The following is a 21307-nucleotide window of genomic DNA, read 5'->3' as shown; positions in this document are numbered from 1 at the left end:
GAATATATTCTCTTGAATCAAAGGTCCATATAAATAGGTGGGGGAGGGGAGGAATGCCCTTCCACTCTTAAAAATTATTCTTCCTAAAAATCACAAAGTTTGGTACGACTCTCAAATAGACGATGAAATTAGGAAATTTCCAACACTGCATTTCTAACTTAAAATATTTTTTCTAAAGTAAAAAAGTACATGTTCGTTGTGTGTGTCAGAAGAAGAAATAGGAACTACAAATAAAAGAAACATGTTTAAATGACCATAATCCCAAATTACTCAGCGATAATTACTTGCTGTCAATCCTTCTTAACTTTTCCATGCATTCATAAATACGATGAGACTGTAAATAAGACAAAAAAAAAACAGACCCCGATAATGATCAAAGATCTTCGGCGCAATAGGCAATGTCTAACAACTTCAATGGCTTTCTTCAGGGGATTCTCAACGGGATTTCTTGATCTTTCCCAAAATGCTGGGAAGCCCTTTAAGTTTAAACAAACAAAACCTCCAAACGGGAAGGGATGCCAACCTCTCCTAGGCTGCCTGCAGAGCGGGGAGAAACAGGTCTATCGGAAGAAGAGTAGAGATACTCACCTAAGGAGACTCCTCTCCCGAAAGGAATCTGCTTCTCAGCCCCACCCCCAGCTCACCCCAATCCCACGTAGGTCCGCAGATGCTCCCCCCGGGAAGGACGGGACGACCCCGCAGCCGCGATTCAACGCGGCGCGCCCGGAAGCCAACAGCTACTCCCGGGCTCTGAGCGGGAAGTCCTGCTGCAGGCGCCAGCCCGGACCCGGGAATGCTCCTCCCTAGGGTAGGGAAGCGCGCGGGCGCAGGCGTTTACCTGTCTCATCTTCCCATGGTTCGGGGCGAGCAGGCGTGGACCGCGCTCTGCGCCTACCTCCCTCCTCCTTCCCCAGGAAGGCTCAGGGCAGCCGCCGACGGCTGCTTCCCCGGTTACTACAACAACCAACAAGCAACCGCCCGCTCGGAGCCACTGCGCAGGCGCTCATAACGCTCAGCTGCGGACGCGGGCGAATGTCGTCACCGCCGCGCAGCGCGGGCGCAGAGCCCTGCCCTCAGCTGAAGGGAGTCTTCTTTTTTTTTTTTTTTTCCGCTGTTTTTTTCTCCGCCCCTAAGAGGTTGACTCCAAACCCGGAGTTCCGCTAGGTCCAACAGGAGGGCTTACGGCGTGAGCGGCGTACCTGGGGAGAGGCTTAGGCAGCGGCAACCGCTGATTGGCAGTAAAGGGGTTCACTCCCCATCTCCTGCTCGGGCGAAACCGGGACAGCCAATCAGAGAGAGTACTGACGGAAACGGCCCAATCCTGGAGCAGGGCTGAGGGAGGGGGCGGGGACAAATGGCTCAGGTGGACTCCGGGCTGGAGCTGTCCTGGGGGAGCTTGTTTGCGGCAGCGGCTGCTGCTGCCACTGCTGTGCTGGGGGCCCGGTCGCCAGGTAAGGAGAATATGGGGGAGAAGAGGGATGTAGGTGTCTGTGTTGCTTCTGATTGAGAGGATCCGGAGAGTCTGGAAAAATGGAGGTGGGATGGAAGGAAGATAACTGGAAGGCAACCTTTTGGGGGGAAAAGGTTTCGAGAGGCGATGACAAGGGGGAGCTAGGAAGATGGAGAAGGCTTGGTGAATTCAAGGAACGAAGGAATGGATGAGCGAATGAGCAGCCACTATGAGCCTAGCACTGTACAAAGAGCCTTCACTTTTTGTCATATAATTCTTACAATAGCCCTTCGGGTTGATATTTCTATCTCCATTTTGCAGATGAGGAAACCGAGACTGAAAAGTGTAAATGACTTACCCAGGGTCACACAGCTACTAAGTGGTAGGGCCAGGATAAGAATCCCTTTCTCCTGATTAAGTTTTAACAGCACACCTATGCTGGGCTGGGCTTGGCTGGGCTGGGCCAGGGCCAGGACAAAATTTGGAAATAGATGTTGTATACACTCTAAGAGGCCCTTAAGCTTTAGGGAAATTAGGTTGAGAAATTGGCAGAGCAATTCAGAAGTGCTCAGGCTCTGTCCTCATCAGCTATCTGTTGGGATTTCTAACAGATAACACTTCTGTGAAATGGAAGGCATACTTGTGCAGAAAAGTGGAGAGGTGCATCCATGCAGCTTTTCTAAACCCCGGAGGAGTCTCCTCTTGAGAGAGAGTGAGAAAATAAAGAGGATGGGTGGATCTTGGCCCAAATGATAATGGCCTGTGATGTCCAGTAGACCCTCAGTCTCTCTGATCTTCGACAGAGACCACCTTTGTGATCCAGCTCTCCCTGAAGGGCTCATCAATTCACCCTTCCTTCTCTAGATCTCTTTATTGCTTGTTTGGGGCGGGGAGTTGGCGGGGGGGGGCGGCGGTGTTTCACACTGTCTTGGGCCATTGCTGACTTTAATATCTGTCCCACTGGGTAGCAGAGAACAATACCGAAACTTGTATTGCCAAAGTGACAAAGAAAGCCTGTTAGTTTATTACCACTTCAGGCCCAAGAGGTTAACCTGACAACAGATAAACCGTGGACCAAGAAAATAATAATGAGGATGGGAAAAAGTCATTCCATTATTAGATTATTTATCTATTTTGGTTTTATTTAAATCAGACTAACTGAAATTACTACTCAACAAGAGTTGAACTAAGCCTTAAAAAAAAAAAAAAAAAGGCTGGGTGCTGTAGCTCACACCTGTAATCCCAGCATTTGGGAGGCGAGGCCAAGGTGAGTGGATCAGTTGAGCCCAAGTGGAGAGGTTGAGGTAGGAGGATCACTTAAGCCTTTGATTTCAAGGCTGCAATGAGCCATGACTATGCCACTGCATTCCAGCCTGTGTGACAGAGCAAGACCCTGTCTCAAAAAAATAAATAAATAAATAATAAATTAAAAAACAAAAAGTATGTAATCTAATTGTATTTTCCATACAACTTGAAGACAAAAGTGGATATGGTATGCTTTTCTTTCTCAAAAAATGGGAACTTCATTAAAATAGTCTCAAACAATGAGGTAGCACTGCAGCAGTCCAGCAGACCATGATTCTTATCTCAGCTCTGCCAACTTTGCTGTGTGACCTTAAGAAACTTGTTTAACCTCTCTGTTCCAACCCTCATCTGTAAGATGGAAATATTAATAGTGCCTGCTTACCTCATTGTAAAGATTAAATGGTAATATATGTTAGGTGCTTGGCACAGTTCACGGTGTAAGTGCTCAATGACTGAAACCTATTATTTTCTTGCAACCCAACACCAAGATTGCTGTTTCCTTCGCTATATAATTTTCTTACTAGTCCTAAACTCACACGTTAACTTAAACACACACAATTTATAAATTTGGAAAAAAGGAAAAGAGGCTTTATCTCTTGCAAAGGGTTACAGCCACCCAACAGGGAAGAGTGCCTCCCACCAAGACCAGAGACAGTTACTTTGAAGGAGAAGGGTTTGGGGTAGAGCTTCATGCTGAACAGGTTTGCTAAACATACACATTCGACAGGTTACAGGAGGAGCTGTGAATATTCCTGAAGGTTGTCCTGACACATGCATATTGAACAAACATATGTAACCACATATGAACCCTGTTCACTTTGGAGTGGAGACCTAACATTTAAGTCTATCACACCTAGGCTCTATACGTCAAAAAGTCTTTTCAGGACACCAAGACACTCAAGTGTGTGATCCTGCTAAACTGGCCAGGAGCAGTCCACGGTTGGTGGTCTTATCTGGAGAAAATTACTGAAATCAGTCTCTTGTCCAATCAAAGCTGTAGTTACAACTGGTGGAACAGGGGTCAGGTAGTCAGCCTCTGTGAGCTGGATGAGCTGCAATTGTTTTAATATTGCTTATCTCAAGGCCAGTGTTCATCTAGCTGCTGGAGAAAAAAAAAACCTTGTGGCAGAATATAACTTTTATTCTTTAAATGTAGGAGTGTGTAACTTAACCCTTGCCTGGCATGGCCTTAGGTCTTGTTTATAATTTGGTATCTTATTGCACAAAGAATCTGTTGTGTCATTCTTATGATCTCTATTTTAACTTTAATGCTGGTAAGTTGCTGTCTCTAAACCTGAAAACACAACGAATATAACAGGGCATGTCAGACCTCCCATCTTGTCATGGCCAGGAGCTCAGTTTTAGGATTTTTCTGGGGTCCCCTAGGCCAAGAGGGGCTCTGTTCAGTCCGTGATGGGCTTAGGATTTTATTTGGAGTTGACACACAGCAGTTTATTTTTAACTTTTAGATTGTTCTTCTAGTTTATGGAGCATGGTATACCTGAGAACCAGAGTCCAGAAAACCTAGGGATGTAAATAGTGACCTCACACCATAAGTCCTACTCAAATTTATAAAGTTCCATACACTTGGAAGAATCCGTCATCAATAGCCAGGCAGGTGTCTGTGAGTATAGTTATAATCGCCTTTGAGCTATTTGCATTACGAAGGAATGGCATGAAAACATGAAGGTATAGAAGTAAAGATAGAGGACTGATTCCAACCCAGAAAAAGGAGTTCTGATTTAGGGTAATATTTTGGAGAAATTGCTTAGACAAGGATAAGTACTGTGCCACTTATTGCAAAGTATACTGTTCATTCACCACTATTAGTGTGACTGAATTTCTTTTTTTGGCCTGCTTCATTCTTCCTCCCTTCCTGCTTATGGTTAACATAGACTGGCCCTCATTGTCTCATGTCCTCTGCCTTTGTTTCCAAGGCAAAAAGCCCTCCCACGTTTGAGGGGAGTCATGAGCCGTTTCCTGAATGTGTTAAGAAGTTGGCTGGTTATGGTGTCCATCATAGCCATGGGGAACACGCTGCAGAGCTTCCGAGACCACACTTTTCTCTATGAAAAGCTCTACACTGGCAAGCCAAACCTTGGTAAGAAATCAAAGAATTTCTGCATCCTTTATAGGACTTATAGGACTGGCCCTATGCTGTGGTTCCCAAACCAGGCTGTACATCAGAGTAACCTAGGAAACGTCAACAAACACAGGTACCCATTTCCCTCACCAAACCTATTTATTGAACCTGGGTGGAGCTCAGGAATCCAGTTGCTAAAACACTTCCCAGATGATTCTGATGCTGCCTTAGCTAGCCTTTGGCAGCTACTGGAGTAATAGACTTTGTGGTGAGCACTTGACCCTTTTTCCCCCAAGCTTCTCTGAATACTTTTCATTGATTTTACACTGCCCTGGGCAATTCATGTATTTAAAAAAAAAAAAAAAAAAGCATTATAAGGGCAAGTGAGGAAATAGACTTACTTGGTGACTCTGTGATGCCTGACAAGAAAGCCATAAAGAAGCTTTACATATATCTCAAAGCCCTCTTCAGAATCAGGTTTACATGATTCTGGGGCTTACATGACTCATATTCCATGTTACAGATGGAGAGTTATTAATTCAAGGTCTTCCGTGACATAGTCCCTGAGAAGGTATTTAAAATCCCTTCAAGTTGGTCTCCCAAAATGAAACTTAAGAAGGCCCATGGCAGCCTTTCCTGGCTTCCTGAGCCTCTCTACTGAGAGTGTCCATTTCAGCTTCCACTTCATCACGCTGATGTGTGGGGTAGTTTAAGCTGCAGCACTGTTTCACAGCAGATGACAATTCTGTGTCACATTTATAGCTAACCCAGATTCAGGCTCTGACCTAGCTCGTTTTTCTGCAGTGTCTGAGTATAAAATGAAATTAAGTAGGCTAAGGCTCATTTTAAGAAAGCTCAAATATAATAAGAGTAAAGAACCTGGGAAAGTGAGCAGAATAATTCCATCTTTTCACCTTCAAATGCTGCCCTCAGGTGGTCATGGAACCCTATATAGATTCACACATTTTTAGAGGTCATCTGGTCTAGCCCTTTGAGTTTAAAGTTGAGGCAAAGAGGTCCAGAGGTCATGTGACTTAAAGGCATATAGCTGAGCAGAACTTTATGTGTGTGTGTGTGTGTGTGTGTGTGTGTGTGTGTGTGTGTGTGTTCAGCCAGCACGGAAGCTGAGGCTGCCATCTCCCTTGTGATCTAGGGGCCTTCATGGTACTCTTCTGAAAGTAGCAGTGCTCTAAAGTGTCCCACAGAATTTCACCTCATACCTAATCTGGTTAGGGCTGGTTGAGTACTCTTAACTAGAGAAACGTCCTTAGTCTTCTCATTATCAAATTGGTTTATAAAGAATATAGCTATCCAGGGCTAATGCTAGATATTTGGTTGGCATATGGAATTTTTTCTCACTACCATCTAATGGTCTTCAGTATTGTGAATTTGGGAGAGCTGTCTGATTTTCCAAAGGCTGGAAAAATCCTTAAAGCCCAAGTAAACATTAGTAGACTTTTCAGTTGTCAATTTTGTCCCTTAAAATTTATCTTACTCAGCAGGTAGTAGACCAGCAAAGGAAGTATCTTTGCTTTCACTGTTTTGGCATCCCCGAGCCACTGGATGCCTTAGCTCAATGGTTTTGCATTTAAATTACCCAAACAGGGAGTTTCTAGAAAATACTTATGCCTGGGGCCCTCCTCCAGAGAATACGATATAGTTGGTCTGGTACCCAGGCCTTGTAATTTTATAAAACTACCTCAGTTGATTGTAATAAATGCCCAAAGTCAAGAACCACTGTTATGGTGGAATATGACCTATACTTTCAGGACAAGATATTTAATACAGCAATGTCAGAACAAAGCTACCAACAGCAGGATGCCCCCAGCAAACACCAAAGAAACAGTGCTTTGTCCCACTGCCATGCACACAGGAAACCAACCTGGTATTGGTTCATCCAACAGCATAGATCTGGATGCAGGAAGAGACCCAGGCACTCACATATCTTAAAGACCATATATGGGCATCTAAATTGGTCCCCAGTATCTCTGAGTTCTCTCCTGGATCAGCCTTGAAAGTCTGCTGGCCTCCTGGGCATCTTGCATTTCCAGATCAGTCTCTACAACGTTCCCCAAAACCTGTCCTGATCCAGACCCTCTAGGCTTCCAGGACAAAAGGGGTAAATTACTATATCTAGGAGTTATTTGCCTAACTGGGCTCTTTGTGGGTTTCCACTCTTGGAACTTCCCTTCCAACTGTAGACATTTGAAGAGAATCTGAGAAGTTCTCATTCTGGAATTCCTTCTATTCCTTCTAGTTCCCATGTTGCCACTAGGACCTCCATCCTGCCCAGCCACAGAGAGGTCAGGTCCAGCTCCCTATCTCCCATGAACCACCAGTGAAATAGGAGGAGTTTGGAAGGAACCTCAAGTCTCCCCTTCTGAACACTCTTGCTTTTTTCTGCTACACAGTGAATGGCCTCCAAGCTCGGACCTTTGGGATCTGGACGCTGCTCTCATCAGTGATTCGCTGCCTCTGTGCCATTGACATTCACAACAAGACGTATGTAAGGGAAGGAAGAGCTTTAGCATCCTTTTGTTGGAAATCAGATGCGAGGCATACCTGTTACCTTGAGTAATGGGAACTGTTAATCATTTTAATGCATTAGCTTAGAATGTGAATAATAAAAAACTCACAGGTTACATTCCCTCCAAGCCTAGAAAACATAGTAGACCTAACAGGTCTTCATTAAAGTCTGAAAATTCTTTGGAACTGACATAGCAAACTGGCAGGCCATTATCCAGTGGCCTGCATCATGCCCCTCCACTTCTTTATGAAAGAATCAGCCCTTCTTCTACTAAAGAAGTAGAGTGGTATGCTCTTTTTAGAGTAGCCACCCACACATACCTTTCTCACATTCCTCCTTAAGAAGCAGGAATGAACAGAAATCACAATCCATGAAAAAAGAGGAACCCACAAGTAAACTGTTGTATGTGTATGCAGCATCAGCAGGTGAGGGTGAAAGAGAAGCTAGGGCTCCTGAATCTACCTGTCTTGGGTACTCAAACAGACCAGGGTGGAACAATTGCAGGCAATCAGAAGCCATAACCAGTGCTGGCCACTAGAGGGGGCTCGAGCTTTCTTCCCAGCGGGAGTCATCATCACACTCTAGGTGGAAACAGTTTGTTCAGGTCACCGAGGGAGGCTATCTGAATGCCAACTTCACATTAAAATGTTTTTCTGTCTTATCCAGGCTCTTGGCATCTGGGGAAAACAGGAGGCGATAATATTTATTGAGCCCCTCTTATTATGCTGAGCTTTTATCTACGTGATCTTGATTAAGTCTTTTCTTAGCAGCCCTGGAGGTCATGATTTTCATTCCTGATTTTGCACATCTAAATATTAGAGATACAGTTAGTTTAAAGAAAGACTGACTCAAGTGAGATTTGAAGCAGGGCTATTAGCCGTTTGATCTCTTCAACCTTATTTTTTTTTTTAATTTTTTTTCAAACTTGAACCTGCAGTTTACTTGTCCTAGAATGACACATACTTTTGGAAGCAGTGTGTTTAGTTCTGGGCCCAGTTCTGTTGGTAACTAGCTTTGCAGTAGCAAGTCCATTATTCACCTTCCTTGCACCTTGGCCTCTTCATCCATAAAATGAGAATAGATATCTGTTCTACCTCTCAGGGTGACTAAGAGGAAGGGAGGATTGAACAATCATTTTAAAGACCTGTACCACAATGAAGAATTGCTGATGAGTATGAGGGATATATCTTTTGATTGTTGTGCTTTTGAAGTGAGCGAAGACAACCCAGACTTATCTCTTTTTTTTTTTTTTTCTGAGACAGTCTTGCTCTGTCACCCAAGCTGGAGTACAGTGGCACAATCTCAGCTCCCTGCAACCTCCACCTCCGCCTCCTGGGTTTAAGCCATTCTCCTGCCTCAGCCTCCCCAGTAGCTGGGATTACAGGCGCGCACCACCATGCCCCTCTAATTTTTGTATTTTTAGTAGAGACAGGTTCTCACCATGTTGGCCAGGCTGGTCTCGAACTCCTGACCTCGTGATCCACCCACCTTGGCCTCCAAGGTGCTGGGATTACAGGCTTCAGCCACTGTGCCCGGCCTGACCCAGACTTATCTTTACCTCAGTTACCATTTACTTTCACCTCTCCCCACACAGGACAGCTGCAAACGCTGACTCCTGTTTCTAGACCTTTCTAGCCTAGGACTTTGATCGATGCACTTCTGATGTGCATTCTGATCCTATTCCCTCCCTAACTAGAGACTGAAAGTCAACACACATACATATTGTTTCCACAATGGGCCAGGCGCGGGTGGCTTCTGCCTGTAATCCCAGCACTTTGGGAGGCCAAGGTGGGCAGATCACTTGAGATCAGGAGTTTGAGACCAGCTTGGCCAACATGGCGAAACCCCATCTCTACTAAAAATACAAAAATTAGCTGGGCGTGGTGGTGTGCACCTGTAGTCCCAGCTACTCCAGGAGGCTGAGGCAGGAGAATCACTTGACCCAAGAGGCGGAGGTTGCAGTGAGCCAAGATTGTGCCACTGCACTCCAGCCTGAGAGACAGAGCAAGAGTCTGTCTCAAAAAAAAAAAAAAAAAAAAAAAAGGTGTAAAAATATGCACAGGAGAGATACAAATCAAATGTAAGATACCAGTTACTTGTGGGGATGAGGGAGAACAGACTTAGAGCAGGATAAGTATACACAGGATGATTTAACTCTTCTCTGTAAGTTTTTATTAGAAGAGTCTGAAACAAAATGTCAAGATGTTAAGATCTGAGGGAGCTGGGTGTTGGTTGCATTGGTGTTCATTATAGTGTTCAGTAATTTTTTTGTATGTTTGAAGTATTTCATAATTTTAAAAAATTTTATACTAAAAAGATATCAGCAAACAAAGTGGTCAGTCACCTAGTAGCCTGTCTCTTCTCTACCTTATAGTCAAAGCTGAAAGATAAGTTCTTTTCCCATGAGGTTGTCACCATGTCCTCAATGTGACTACTTTTCTAGGCTAAGGCACAAAGTAACCAACGTATATTGCAAGAGCATCTAAAAGCCCCAGAGGTGTCCTTGCTCCTTACTCCCCATGAGGCCGTTCGTTCTGTGGCATCCATCTTATAAACACCGACAAGTGCATGGCCAGATGCCTGCCAGGTGGGATTAGACTGCAGAGTCAACCAATTTGGATAAATAGAATATGTAAGCGTGCTGGATCCAAAGTTGTCTACACTGCCTGCGATTGTCATCATTCAGGCTCTGCTTTGCTATAGCTGAGTTCACCACTTTGCTGAGACCTGGACGTTCATTCTGGATGCCTGAACCATTCTCCTCTCAGTTTAGCAGTTGAAACCTTCAGTTTTGCCCTAGATGAGAATATCGTTGTGATCAAATAACCAGCTCTTCCTCAGGAACAAGTGTCCTTTCTTTTAAGTCTTAATGACATCCTGGGTTCTTATTTGTCTGTATGAAGTCTGATACTTTTCCTCTGTTCTGAACAAACAGTAACTTTGGTTCCCATTTCTGTCTGCTTCCTTATAGGCTCTATCACATCACACTCTGGACCTTCCTCCTTGCCCTGGGGCATTTCCTCTCTGAGTTGTTTGTCTATGGAACTGCAGCTCCCACGATTGGCGTCCTGGCACCCCTGATGGTGGCAAGTAAGCATCCAACCACCCTAGACCTCCTACAGGAGCTGTGCCAGCTCTAGAGCTAGTACAGAGGGTGGACACAGGAGAGAGAGAGAAGAAAGGTACCGTATGTATGTTAGTCACTAGTCTTTCCTCTGTATTTAAGGTTTCTCCATCCTGGGTATGCTGGTCGGGCTCCGGTATCTAGAAGTAGAACCAGTATCCAGACAGAAGAAGAGAAACTGAGGCCAGCATTATCACCTCCAGGACTTTCTCGTTTTCCACCTTGGCCATCTTCTTCCTTCGTCGTCTCTCCTCTTTAATTTCTTTTCTATTCCATCATCTGCCCTTTTATTCACTTTTAGCCTCTTTTTTTAATTTTTAAAATTTAAAGATATGCATACTGAAAAGTATATAACATGTACGTACAATTTAAAGAATAATTTTAAAGTGAATACTACGTAACTCCATCCAAGTCAAGAAATTGCCAGCTTCTCGGAAGCCCACTGTGTCTCCTTCCCCTACCTGCAACCTCTTCCAGGCTCCCTTTTCCAGCCTTCCCCTTTTTCCCTTTTATTTTCATGCCTTGATTTGACTTGTGTGGTGGGAACATGTGAACTATGAAACTTAAACCTGCTGCCCACCCAGAGCAGCTGTGACCAAGGGCTGCCTCAAGGGGTTGTCCACGCAGGTTGGGCTCCTCTCTGCTGCTGGACCCAAGACTCTGAACCTTCCAAGGGACAGGCAGTTCTTCTAAGAAGGGCTCCCCTGTGTGTGAGCAAGACCACAGCTCTCCTTCTATCTACAGATGCATGAGGGTTGGAAGAGTCTGGGCTGTTTTTAGACCTTCTGGTCAGCTGTATTTGTGTAACAACTTTTGTAATAAATAGAAAAACCCTCTGCTCTGATCAGTTCTTGTACTTTGACCTCTGCTAAGACAAGAGCATGGCTGCCTCCTCTGAGCCCTAGGAGAATCACAGCTTTATGCCTGATTGAATACACCATAGTGAGTAGGACAGCTCATGACACAGGTCAGCCTGGCTGCCTCCGGCTCCTTACTGTCATTTGCTCATTCCTCTTGTATTCTTGAAGTCAAATCTTCTTTTTTCTCACCTTCAAGAGTCTGCGTTCACAACTAAACACTAAGTGCCCTTTCTTATTTCCTCCTAAAGAAGAAACAGATTCTTGAGAGAGCAGAGACAAAAAAATAGAACTAGGCAGCATAGATGAAACAACTGCATGACATGGGAAGAAGACAACTAAACCCCGAGGAGAATGCACTGGAATGGACAGTTGCTCTTAAACCCTACCCAGAGGGCCTCCCCCAGCTGGACCCTCATACACAGTGTGTGTATCCAAAAGGCCATTGCTATTTCAGCAAATATTTGTTGAGTACTTCTCCATGCCGGACACTTGGGAAAGAGAAATGAACGACACAGGCAATGCCCCTGCCCTGTGGGCCTTATATTATAGTCAAGGTAACAGAATCAACAAGCCAACACAAAAATAAAGAACTTCAAATAGGGATAAGAACTCTAACAAACACAAGGTATTTTGGTCAAGAAGGAATGTGGGGTGGGCAGTGGGGAACGTAACTTAAATTAGATCATCAGAAAGTCCTCCCTGAGGAGATGGGATTTTTTTGTTTTTTAGAGACAGGGTTTCACTCTGTCACCCAGGCTGGAGTGCAGTGGCACAATCACACCTCACTGCAGCCTCAACTTCCTGGGCTCAAGTGATCCTCCTGCATCAGCTTCCCAAGTAGCTGGGACTACAAGTGTGTACCACCACATCCAGCTAACATTTTTGGGGGTGGGAAGAGATGGGGTCTTACTATGTTGTCCAGGCTAAGAGGTGGGATTTGAGCTGAGACTTGAATGCCCAGGAGTTAAATGTCTTAAGATATGGAGCAGGCCGTTAGAAAGGAGGGAGCAGCAACTGGAAGGTAGAATAGTCTTATTCAAGGAATAAGAACTATGTAATCACAGCATGGTGAAGAGTTAGGAAGTGAAAGAAAAGGTCAGAAAAGGAGGCAAGGGGCTTATAAGGGTGTGATAAGAAGCTTGATGTTTACACTTAAATACATTGGGAATTCTCTTATCAGTTAAGTCTCTTTAGGTGAAAGGACAAAACCTACCTTAAACTAGCTTAAACAATAAAGATAGCTGGCTCATATAACTGAAAAATTACAAGATTAGCTTCAGGAAGGGTTTGATCAAGACTCCAGCTCCATTTCTTTACGATTCTTTCAGCACTACCTATGTGTGCTGGCATCCTCAGGCTGACTTCTTTTATGGTACCAAAGTTGGTTGCAGAAATTCCAGGCCTCATATGCCCAGAACACTGTATCTAGAAAAATATCTCAATGGTAAGAACTATCTTTTCTTTACTTGTCAGCTATATTGTTAGGAGGCAGTAAAAAAGCAGTGATGACAGTTAATGTTTGAACACAGATCCACATGAAGACCTTATGAAAGGAGTGAATGAAAACATTGGATGATTTAGGTCCTCTGAGCATGTGTCATGAAAATGTGATGCCCTGGCCGGGTGTGGTGGCTCACGCCTGTAATCCCAGCACTTTTGGGAGGCTGACACGGGCAGATCATGAGGTCAAAAGATCGAGACCATCCTGGCCAACATGGTGAAACCCCGTCTCTACTAAAAGTACAAAAATTAGCTGGGCATGGTGGCGTGTGCCTGTAGTCCCAGCTACTTGGGAGGCTGAGACAGGAGAATTGCTTGAACCAGGAAGGCGGAGGTTGCAGTGAGCCGAGATTGCGCCATTGCACTCCAGCCTGGCGACAGAAAAAGACACCATCTCAAAAAAAAAAAAAAAAAAAAAAGTGATTCCAGATTAGTAAAGGCAGGGACCCAAAGGATCTAAAGAGATGTACAGTTAGAGTATTTAGCAGACACTATGGATATTAGATTTCTTAACAGCCCAGGCTTGGGTCCCTTCCTAGATCATTTAAAATAGAATCATAATATTGTTCCTCCCCAGCTACGAGTTGCTATAAATATGATGCTAGAATACCACAGGCACAGTACAACTCTCTATGGAAAGAATGTACAGAACACAGATGATAGTAGCAGCATATTCAAGTAACACGCACAAGGTGATCACAACTGGGGAGGGATGAGTAACAGGACGTTGGCCAGTTAGGAAGAAAAATGGTAACGCAAGACTGCAGCTGCTGGGACTGAGCCATGGGCCCCAGCCACAGCAAGCTGATGCATGGCTGAGGTAATCAGAGAACAAACATTTCAACCACCCTTTGAGGCAGAGCCAGAAACAACAGTGGACTCTCTCATCAGCAGTCACTCACATTCCAGCGCGTACACAGCATGGAAAGAGGTCAGGGTCGTGCTGGATGTTGAGTTGCAGTCCCTCCATGTAGGCAAACAGTAACCTTTACAGCCTTGTCTTTAAAAAATATCCCTCCCAGATGGTAAGGTCTGGCAACAGTGAGATGCTCCTGTGGAAGACCACAGTTGCTGCTTCTCTAGCCTCACACTCCCCCGCCCCAGCCCAGCCCTTCCCCACACCTAAGACAGGAGCCTCAGGAATGTGTGACAGTCTTGCAGGGACTTCTAAGAGCCATCTCTGCCCCACTGAATGATAAGGCAGACCACTTTCTGAGAAGTTTTTATTGCCTCGAAATGTCAGATCTTACAAATAGAAAACACAAATTATGTTTTTAAAATAAAGCAATAGGTTTGGTAAACATTTTGTTAATACCTTTTGAAGGGTTTATGAGTAAACATCTTTCTCTTTATCAAAAAGTAAAGCACACCCTCACCTCTCTTCCACACTGACTCACTACTTCTGCCGAAAACGTGGACTTCTTTCTTCTATTACATACAGCATGTTCCTTGCATCCATTGCTTGAATCTGTACAAACACACACACACACACATGCAGACACACACAAACCTGGCTCCTCTCAGGCAGTGGCCCAAGCACCACAGTATTGCAGCCAGCACAGGCTGCCCTGATATGCTGAGGCCAGGGCAGTGGCTGGAGCAAGACAGCACAGTGGTCACGATCACAGTTGCCCAATGCATAGGAAAAATTACCAAAACCTCATTTTTAGGAGATATTACCAAAGCCCATGAGTACAGCCAAACAGCAGGCTAGATAGGAAAGATCAGCTTGAGTTGGTTTAAAGGGAATCCCTTTAAGTTTAGAATATCTGATAAAGATTATCGCTCAAAGCAGGTGAGGAGAGGGGTTGGTGGTGCAAATACTGTCCCCAGCAGAGGTGAGATAAGCTTTTAATTCTAACAGGCTCAATTCCCATTTCAAGGGGCACCTTTCCTTCTACCCCTTCCCTCTTATCTCTCAGAAGCACCTTTGGATTTTCAGAGTAGAATGAATCAAGATTAGTTTTCAGCAAAGGTTAGAGTAAGTTGACGGGGATTACCCTGCCTTGGAATAAAACAAGCACTTGGGCTGATGGCTGAGATTCCCAATGCAACATCAAGATAAAGGCATCAGAGGTGACTGTGACACACAGAAGTCCCTGGGGAAGTACTTCTGTAAAAAAGAACCTTCCCATTCCCAACTCAAGCTACCAGAGTTCCCAAATATGTGCTTTCACAAATATACTCAGAAGGTAGCCCCCAGCATGATCACACCTAGGTAGGTAGCCCTCCTGAGTCGGTATCTCTGTCATGGCCACAACAAAGTCTTTTGTCAAGTTTATTATGGTTGGTTTGCTCAGCTCTTAGGAAAGAGGGTTTGGAGACAGACCCGTTAGGCCAGGAAAATTTAGGCCCACAAGTCCCGGTGGAGCTGTTCTGATGGAGTTGTTCTAATGGTGCTTCCTCTCCTGCAGAACTTGAGCAATCAGTCCGATGACCCAGGAGATGACCCCGGCAGAGCAGCTTGCCACTTATTAGAACTGGGCTTCATGAGAGGCTCTTAGGACACTGGAAATTTCAAGTTAATATCCTGAATAGGCTTTCTTCCTGTGAAAATTTTGCAGGCATTGTCCACGATGGATGGAGGAAAAGAGGGAAGGCAAGAGACCAAGCTAGGATTGACTCCAATATTCTCTGCCACCCTGTCCCAACACCAACTCCCATAACCTAAAAGGGGGTGGAGGTGGGAATCAAATTTGCATTTGGTGATAGGTGCAATTTTCTCCAACTAAATCATCCAAGCTCTTACGTGGGTTCTAGGAGGAATAGGCCATCCATGCCACAAATAGTCCCACTGATTCCCTCCAAAAACATCTCTAGCGAAGCCCTTTGTGCTGGCGGTGAGAGCTGTGCTGAAGGAAAAGGTGGGGTGTTCGTGTTCCCTGAGTTGTCACCACCTTCCTCTCAGAGATGATCCTCTGACACAGCAGTGGGCACTTTGCTGGTGTTGCTCTCCTCCTCCTCCTCTTGGAGTTTCTATAAAGCAAAACAAACAGGCAGTGCTGTGGGTAAAGGCACAGCACTCCACCCTGGCTGGAGCAGCTGCCTGGCCATGACTAATCAGTGGGGAATACAAGAGCCGGGGGCCACTCAGCATCCCAGAGAGCCAAGAAAGAGAACAAGAAAAGAAGCAACCAGCCCCTGCCATAAATGCACCCACAAACACACACCACCCAACATCATGAGGTCATCAGAGGGAAAAAGGGGCAAGCTTTCTATGATGCCAAGGCCACCACAAATGATCCAGCTCCGAGTGCCACTCTTTCAGGCTCACTCTCGGGACTGAAACAGAAGCAAAGCCCCTTTTCCCTCCACATTCTGACAGCTGAAAACTCACCTCAACTAACCATCAAATCACTGTCCAAGGTGCCAGGTCTGCGATTCCCTTGGAATTTCCAACAACCCCCACTTGGAGGCAGCCCCAGGATGAGGAATACTTTTTTTTTTTTTTTTTTTTTTGAGATGGAGTCTCACTTTGCTGCCTAGGCTGGAGTGCAATGGCGCGATCTCGGCTCACTGCAAACTCCGCCTCCCAGGTTCAAGTGATTCTCTTGCCTCAGCCTCCCAAGTAGCTGGGATTATAGGTGCCCACCACCATGCCCAGTTAATTTTTGTATTTTTAGTACAAACAGGTTTTCACCATGTTGGCCAGGCTGGTCTCGAACTCCTGACCTCAGGTGATCCACTCACCTTGGCCTCCCAAAGTGCTGGGATTACAGGCGTGACCCACCGCGCCCAGCTGAGGAATACTATCATAATGAACATGCAGTAGATGCCAAAGCAGCATGCATAATTGCATATGTAAGCTCAATGGCTTTAGCTTTCTAGGGGAGGGATGGCACAGGATTCATTTACAGGAAAGTCTTCTAAGTCACACTTTTTAGGTGAGTTTGGAATTCAACATGGCCTGGAAATTATCCTGTGGGGCCCCTAGGTACATACTGCCAACCTGGGCCTTTGTCTACTGTTTTAAGAAGTACTTTGTCTGTGACCTCAAGGGTTCTTCTGATTCACAAGAAGGCCTTGGGCACAGGTGCAGCACCACACAGCCAACACTACTCAAGGCCTAGAGGACATGCACAGGGCTAAGACAGAAGCCAATGTCAAGTGGACAAATGGTGCTTTCTTCCCCAGGGAGTGTCTCAGTGCCTGTTTGTGGTAATGGAGACAGCTGTAGAATCCAACCTTCCCATTCTCAATCTTGCTAACACTTGGCATCAAGTCAGCCTCAGCCATGAGGAGCCATCATTCAGGAAACTAACAGCCTATTTCAGTCACTTAGTCTCCCCTCTCTCTCTGACACACACACACACACACACACACACACACACACACACACACACCACGCCCGCCTCCTCCAAAGCCATCACCTGGAAATCACAATCACAAATGGGAAACAAGTTAGTGGAGACAGAAGTGCAACTACTGTCTATGTGCTAGAAGAAAAATGGAAACCCAAACCAGTAAGATGTTCATAGTCAAGGTCAATCATTACCCTGTCCCAGAAGTCCCATCTCTTTTTCCCTAAACTATACATCTCACTGATTAGAAAGAGCAGGTCTGGCCAGATCTGCCGTGTGCCCAGTCTTCACCTGACTCTGACAATGAATTTGTCCACAGGTCTCTGAGTTACACCAGCTGCCATGGGGTGCGTAATGTCACGGCTCCAGAGGAGGGCTGCTCTGTGATGGCCCTGGCTTCCTTGCTGGTGTCAGTCCCAGCATGACTTTGACCCCCCATAATACCATGCTGCCACAGGTGCCAGGGAGGTCTACAGACACATAGTGAATTATCCAGGGACACAAGACAGGTGAGCACCATTTATTGGAACCTAAGGCTGTTATTCCTACTCAGCGCTATTTCCAGCACCCCACACTCAAAAGAGACTGAGCCAACAATTGTAACCTTGATTAACAAACCTGGTCCATGTACACAAAGAGCTGGCTGCAAGAATAATGAAATAGTGGAACAACTGAAATATTGAGTGAGATGGAAATACACAGTAGACATGAGGTTGTGGTATAATGTAACACTGTAGAAATGTTATCAAGCTATACTAAGTAAGCAGGGTAGAAAACAAAATATACGCAAGCATGTCCATAGATTACAACACTGGAAATGCTACTAGGTTATCTCTGGGAAGCAGGATTATAGGTGATTTTTATTTTCTTTGTTTGCCTATGTCTGCCAACATAAACACAGGTTATAAAGTCAACACAGCAAATCTTATGTCACTTGACATAATACGTCACGTTCCAAACTGAAACCTTTCACTAGGCTATACATATATTTACCCAAGTGTACCAAATCATTTCTCTCTCTCTCTTTTTTTTTTTTTCGAGATGGAGTCTTGCTCTGTCACCCAGGCTGGAGTGCAATGGCATGATCTCAGCTTACCGCAACCTCCACCTCCCGAGTAGCTGGGATTACAAGCGTGCGACACTAGCCTGGCTAATTTTTGTATTTTTAGTAGAGATAGGATTTCACCATGTTGGCCAGGCTGGTCTCAAACTCCTGATCTGCCCACCTTGGCCTCCCAAAGTACTGGGATTACAGGCATGAGCCATCGCGCCCGGCCAGTGTACCAAATCATTATGTCCCCTTGTACACAGTGTGGGTGAAAAATCCATCTCCACAGTGGCCATACTATGGCCCTGACACAGAATTAAAGAATGTCATTCCTGCTGAAAGGCCTTCCCTGTCTCCCCAGTGAATTTCCTGTTCTAGGCTCCTTCTTCCACATGCTTTTCTGCTGCTGCCTGCCAACTCTAGAACGTAATAGCAAAAGACAAATAGTAAAGACCTAAAGATTATCATCTATCTGCCAACACAGATCCTTCAAACACTAAAAATATCCCTTACAGATATCTCTTGCCTTAGAAAATTGGCGAAGATTTTTCAAAATGAAAAATACTCAGTGTTGGCGCTCATATGACTGCCTAGCAATAGAAATTGCTAGTACTCAAAGTACCTTTCTAGAGGACAGTTTAGCAACACATACCAAAGTCTTTGAAATGGGCATGACCATTATTCCATTTCTCCAGGAAATATGGTACTTGAGAACATGCACAAAGATTCAGCTTCCAACATATTAATCACAATATTATTTGTAACAATTCAAAACAACCTTAATGTCCACAGACAGGAAAATTGCTAAATAAATCATGGCTTATCCGTATAAAGGAACACTATGCAGGCATTAAAAGTATGTTGTAGGCCAGGTACAGTGGCTCACTCCTGTAATCCCAGCACTTTGGGAGGCCAAGATTGGTGGGTCATTTGAGGTCAGGAGTTTGAGACCAGACTGGCCAACATGGTGAAACCCCGTCTCTACTAAAAATACAAACATTAGCTAGGCATAGTGGCGTGCACCTGCAATCCCAGCTACTTGGGAGACTGCGGCATGAGAATCACTCGAACCCGGGAGGCAGAGGCTGCAGTGAGCTGAGATTGTACCACTGCATTCCAGCCTAGGTGACGGAGCAAGACTGTGTCTCATAAAAAAAAAGTATGTTGTAAGAGACTAGTTGCCTGATAAAGTGCTTGCAATAAGTGAAAAAAGCAGTTTTATTTCTGTTTAAAAATATGCATTTATATACACACATTCATATATCCACGTATATATTATAAGTGGATACAGACATGCAGCAATCAATGCAAAAAAGGCATCTCATCTCTAAATGATGAAATTACAGGATGATTTTTAAATTTTGTACACTTTTCTGTATTTTTTACTTATTCTACAAAGAGCATGTATTACCTCTATAAGTTTTTTTTTAATTTTTGAAGAAATATCTTACCTTTGCTCTTTCTCAGATTTGAAATTCCTTTCATCATCACTCAGATTTGATACCTAACATTTTGTTTAAAGTGGTTCCCAGCTGGTTAGAACAGATGGAAAACACTTTTCTGTTCTAGGTCATACTCCTGGTCCTCTCCTCTGCTACCTCGCCAGCTCCTGCTTCCTGACTTGTCCTTTCAGAGCCCCACTGGCAATTCTTTGGCTCCGTCCCCATGGCCCTGCCTAAGGAGTTGTCACATGCCAGGAGAGTCACAGCCTTAGGGCCAGCACTGCCATGACAGAGTGGTGGAGCCAGGCTTCCCCTTCCTCCCCAGCCACTGACCCCAGGCTGAAAACAGTGGAGCCAGAGCCTCAGGACTCGGCTCAAGATCCAGTCAGGGGTGCTGTTCAGCAGACTGTGACAACGGTGACACACTCTGGGGATGAGGCCGGGGGCTCCAGAAAGAGGGCAGGAAGTGGGAGAAGAGTCCAAGAAAGGGTAGCAGTAGCAAGAACGCAATGCCAAAGATGCCCACTGAGGAAAGTCTTAGGATGCCATGTGTAAGGGATGAACTGGTCTCCCAGCTATGACAAAACCAGTCCCTGTGGGAGTTCTCCCTGCCCCATCTATGTTGCCACATCCTCATCAAAAGCCTTGGACCCCGATCTCAGCCCCACAAAGCTCCCATATACTCACGTTCTCAAGAGTTTCTTTGTTTGCTTTCTGTCTCCGGAGATCTGCCTTAATGAATGCTAAGGTTGATAGATTGAGAAGGAAGAGAGACAAAAATACAGTTATCACGTTCATCCGAGAGAAGAAACCTTCATTTCCTAAGGGTCACAGGTATCCCAAACTTACTTCAGATAGTCAAGAGAGCTGGTGACTGAGGGCACCATCAGCCAATTTGAGAGAGCCCGAGGATCACTGCCGTCCCTGACAGGCAGAAGCCAACAATGACAGTGGCCTTCACTTATGGATCAGGGACTTTGCACACATTGCTCTAATCATCACAACAATCCTCATTTTACAGATTAAAAACTGAGGTTCCCAGAGGTTGGTCCACTTATCCAAGGTCAATAGCTATGGAAGTCATTGTCACAGTCTGGGATTCCAACATGAGTCTTCTGGCTCCAAAACCCATGCTCATTCTACCAAAACAATGTGCTGCCTCCCAACAGATTCCCCAACAAACCCTTCCATCTGTCCCCCTACGTACGTACTCCCTATCTGTTGCTCCATCGAGACACTAGGGTCCCAAATGGCCAACCTGAGCCTCATCTTGCCCTCAGGCTCCAACTCACCAGTGAGGGCTGCTCCAAGAGTAAGGAACACACACAGGAAGATGTTCCCAGGCTTGGTTCCATAGTTGTCAATAATCTGGCCCTGGGAGATGGTAAAGATGATCCCAAATACCTGGAAAGGCATAAAGAAGATAGGAAACAAGGGCCCAGTCAACTAACTCATGAGGAAGAACTGAGCTGCCATGATGCAATGCCTTCCCAGCCAGGAAACAAACAGGAAATACGAGCTCTACCTGTGCAGATATGTTGAGGAGGCCGGAGGAGATGCCTTCTGATTCTGGGTACGTGAGCTCCACAGCAAACTCAAATCCCAGTGGGAGATAGCCAGTCATAAAGAAGCTGAAGACCAGACCAGAGAAACAAGGGGATGAAGAA

The 21307-nt window shown here is 45.2% G+C and overlaps 3 protein-coding genes across 4 annotated transcripts in view, besides 3 other annotated features; 1 reads left to right on the top strand and 2 right to left on the bottom strand.

The window, feature by feature from the left end:
• The window catches only part of TTLL5 (tubulin tyrosine ligase like 5), a 293834-nt gene extending 292854 nt beyond the window's left edge, over positions 1-980 (bottom strand). The window contains exon 1 of the mRNA NM_015072.5: positions 839-980. The gene's annotated coding sequence lies outside the window, so the exon portion shown is untranslated. The remainder of the gene's footprint in view (positions 1-838) is intronic.
• Positions 909-1128: an enhancer, noted in NCBI's record as "active region_8761". NCBI's record gives its function as "activates an Ori minimal core promoter by ATAC-STARR-seq in GM12878 lymphoblastoid cells {active_cell/tissue: GM12878}" and the evidence as "EXISTENCE:reporter gene assay evidence [ECO:0000049][PMID:35858748]".
• Positions 1239-1288: a silencer, noted in NCBI's record as "silent region_5950". NCBI's record gives its function as "represses an Ori minimal core promoter by ATAC-STARR-seq in GM12878 lymphoblastoid cells {active_cell/tissue: GM12878}" and the evidence as "EXISTENCE:reporter gene assay evidence [ECO:0000049][PMID:35858748]".
• ERG28 (ergosterol biosynthesis 28 homolog) lies at positions 1350-12435 on the top strand. The gene is made up of 5 exons (NM_007176.4): positions 1350-1451; positions 4693-4856; positions 7250-7340; positions 10337-10455; positions 10592-12435. Exons 2-5 carry the CDS (start codon positions 4724-4726, stop codon positions 10669-10671), a joined length of 423 nt encoding a protein of 140 aa, NP_009107.1. The 5' UTR covers positions 1350-1451; positions 4693-4723; the 3' UTR covers positions 10672-12435.
• Positions 13586-13880: an enhancer, noted in NCBI's record as "tiled region #2473; HepG2 Activating DNase matched - State 5:Enh". NCBI's record gives its function as "activates a minimal TATA promoter and a strong SV40 promoter by Sharpr-MPRA in HepG2 cells {active_cell/tissue: HepG2}" and the evidence as "EXISTENCE:reporter gene assay evidence [ECO:0000049][PMID:27701403]".
• The window catches only part of FLVCR2 (FLVCR choline and putative heme transporter 2), a 69548-nt gene continuing 62299 nt past the window's right edge, over positions 14059-21307 (bottom strand). For both annotated transcript variants that reach the window (NM_017791.3, NM_001195283.2), the window contains exons 7-10: positions 21166-21271; positions 20933-21044; positions 20328-20383; positions 14059-15825 (exon numbers count right to left, since the gene is read on the bottom strand). In NM_017791.3, the coding sequence (NP_060261.2) occupies positions 15754-15825; positions 20328-20383; positions 20933-21044; positions 21166-21271 (346 nt within the window). In that variant the 3' untranslated portion in view covers positions 14059-15753. The remainder of the gene's footprint in view (positions 15826-20327; positions 20384-20932; positions 21045-21165; positions 21272-21307) is intronic.

The sequence above is a fragment of the Homo sapiens genome, chromosome 14 (assembly GCF_000001405.40).
Source record: "Homo sapiens chromosome 14, GRCh38.p14 Primary Assembly".
Taxonomy (NCBI): Eukaryota; Metazoa; Chordata; class Mammalia; order Primates; family Hominidae; genus Homo; species Homo sapiens.
This window is presented reverse-complemented; position numbering and strand designations above follow the sequence as displayed.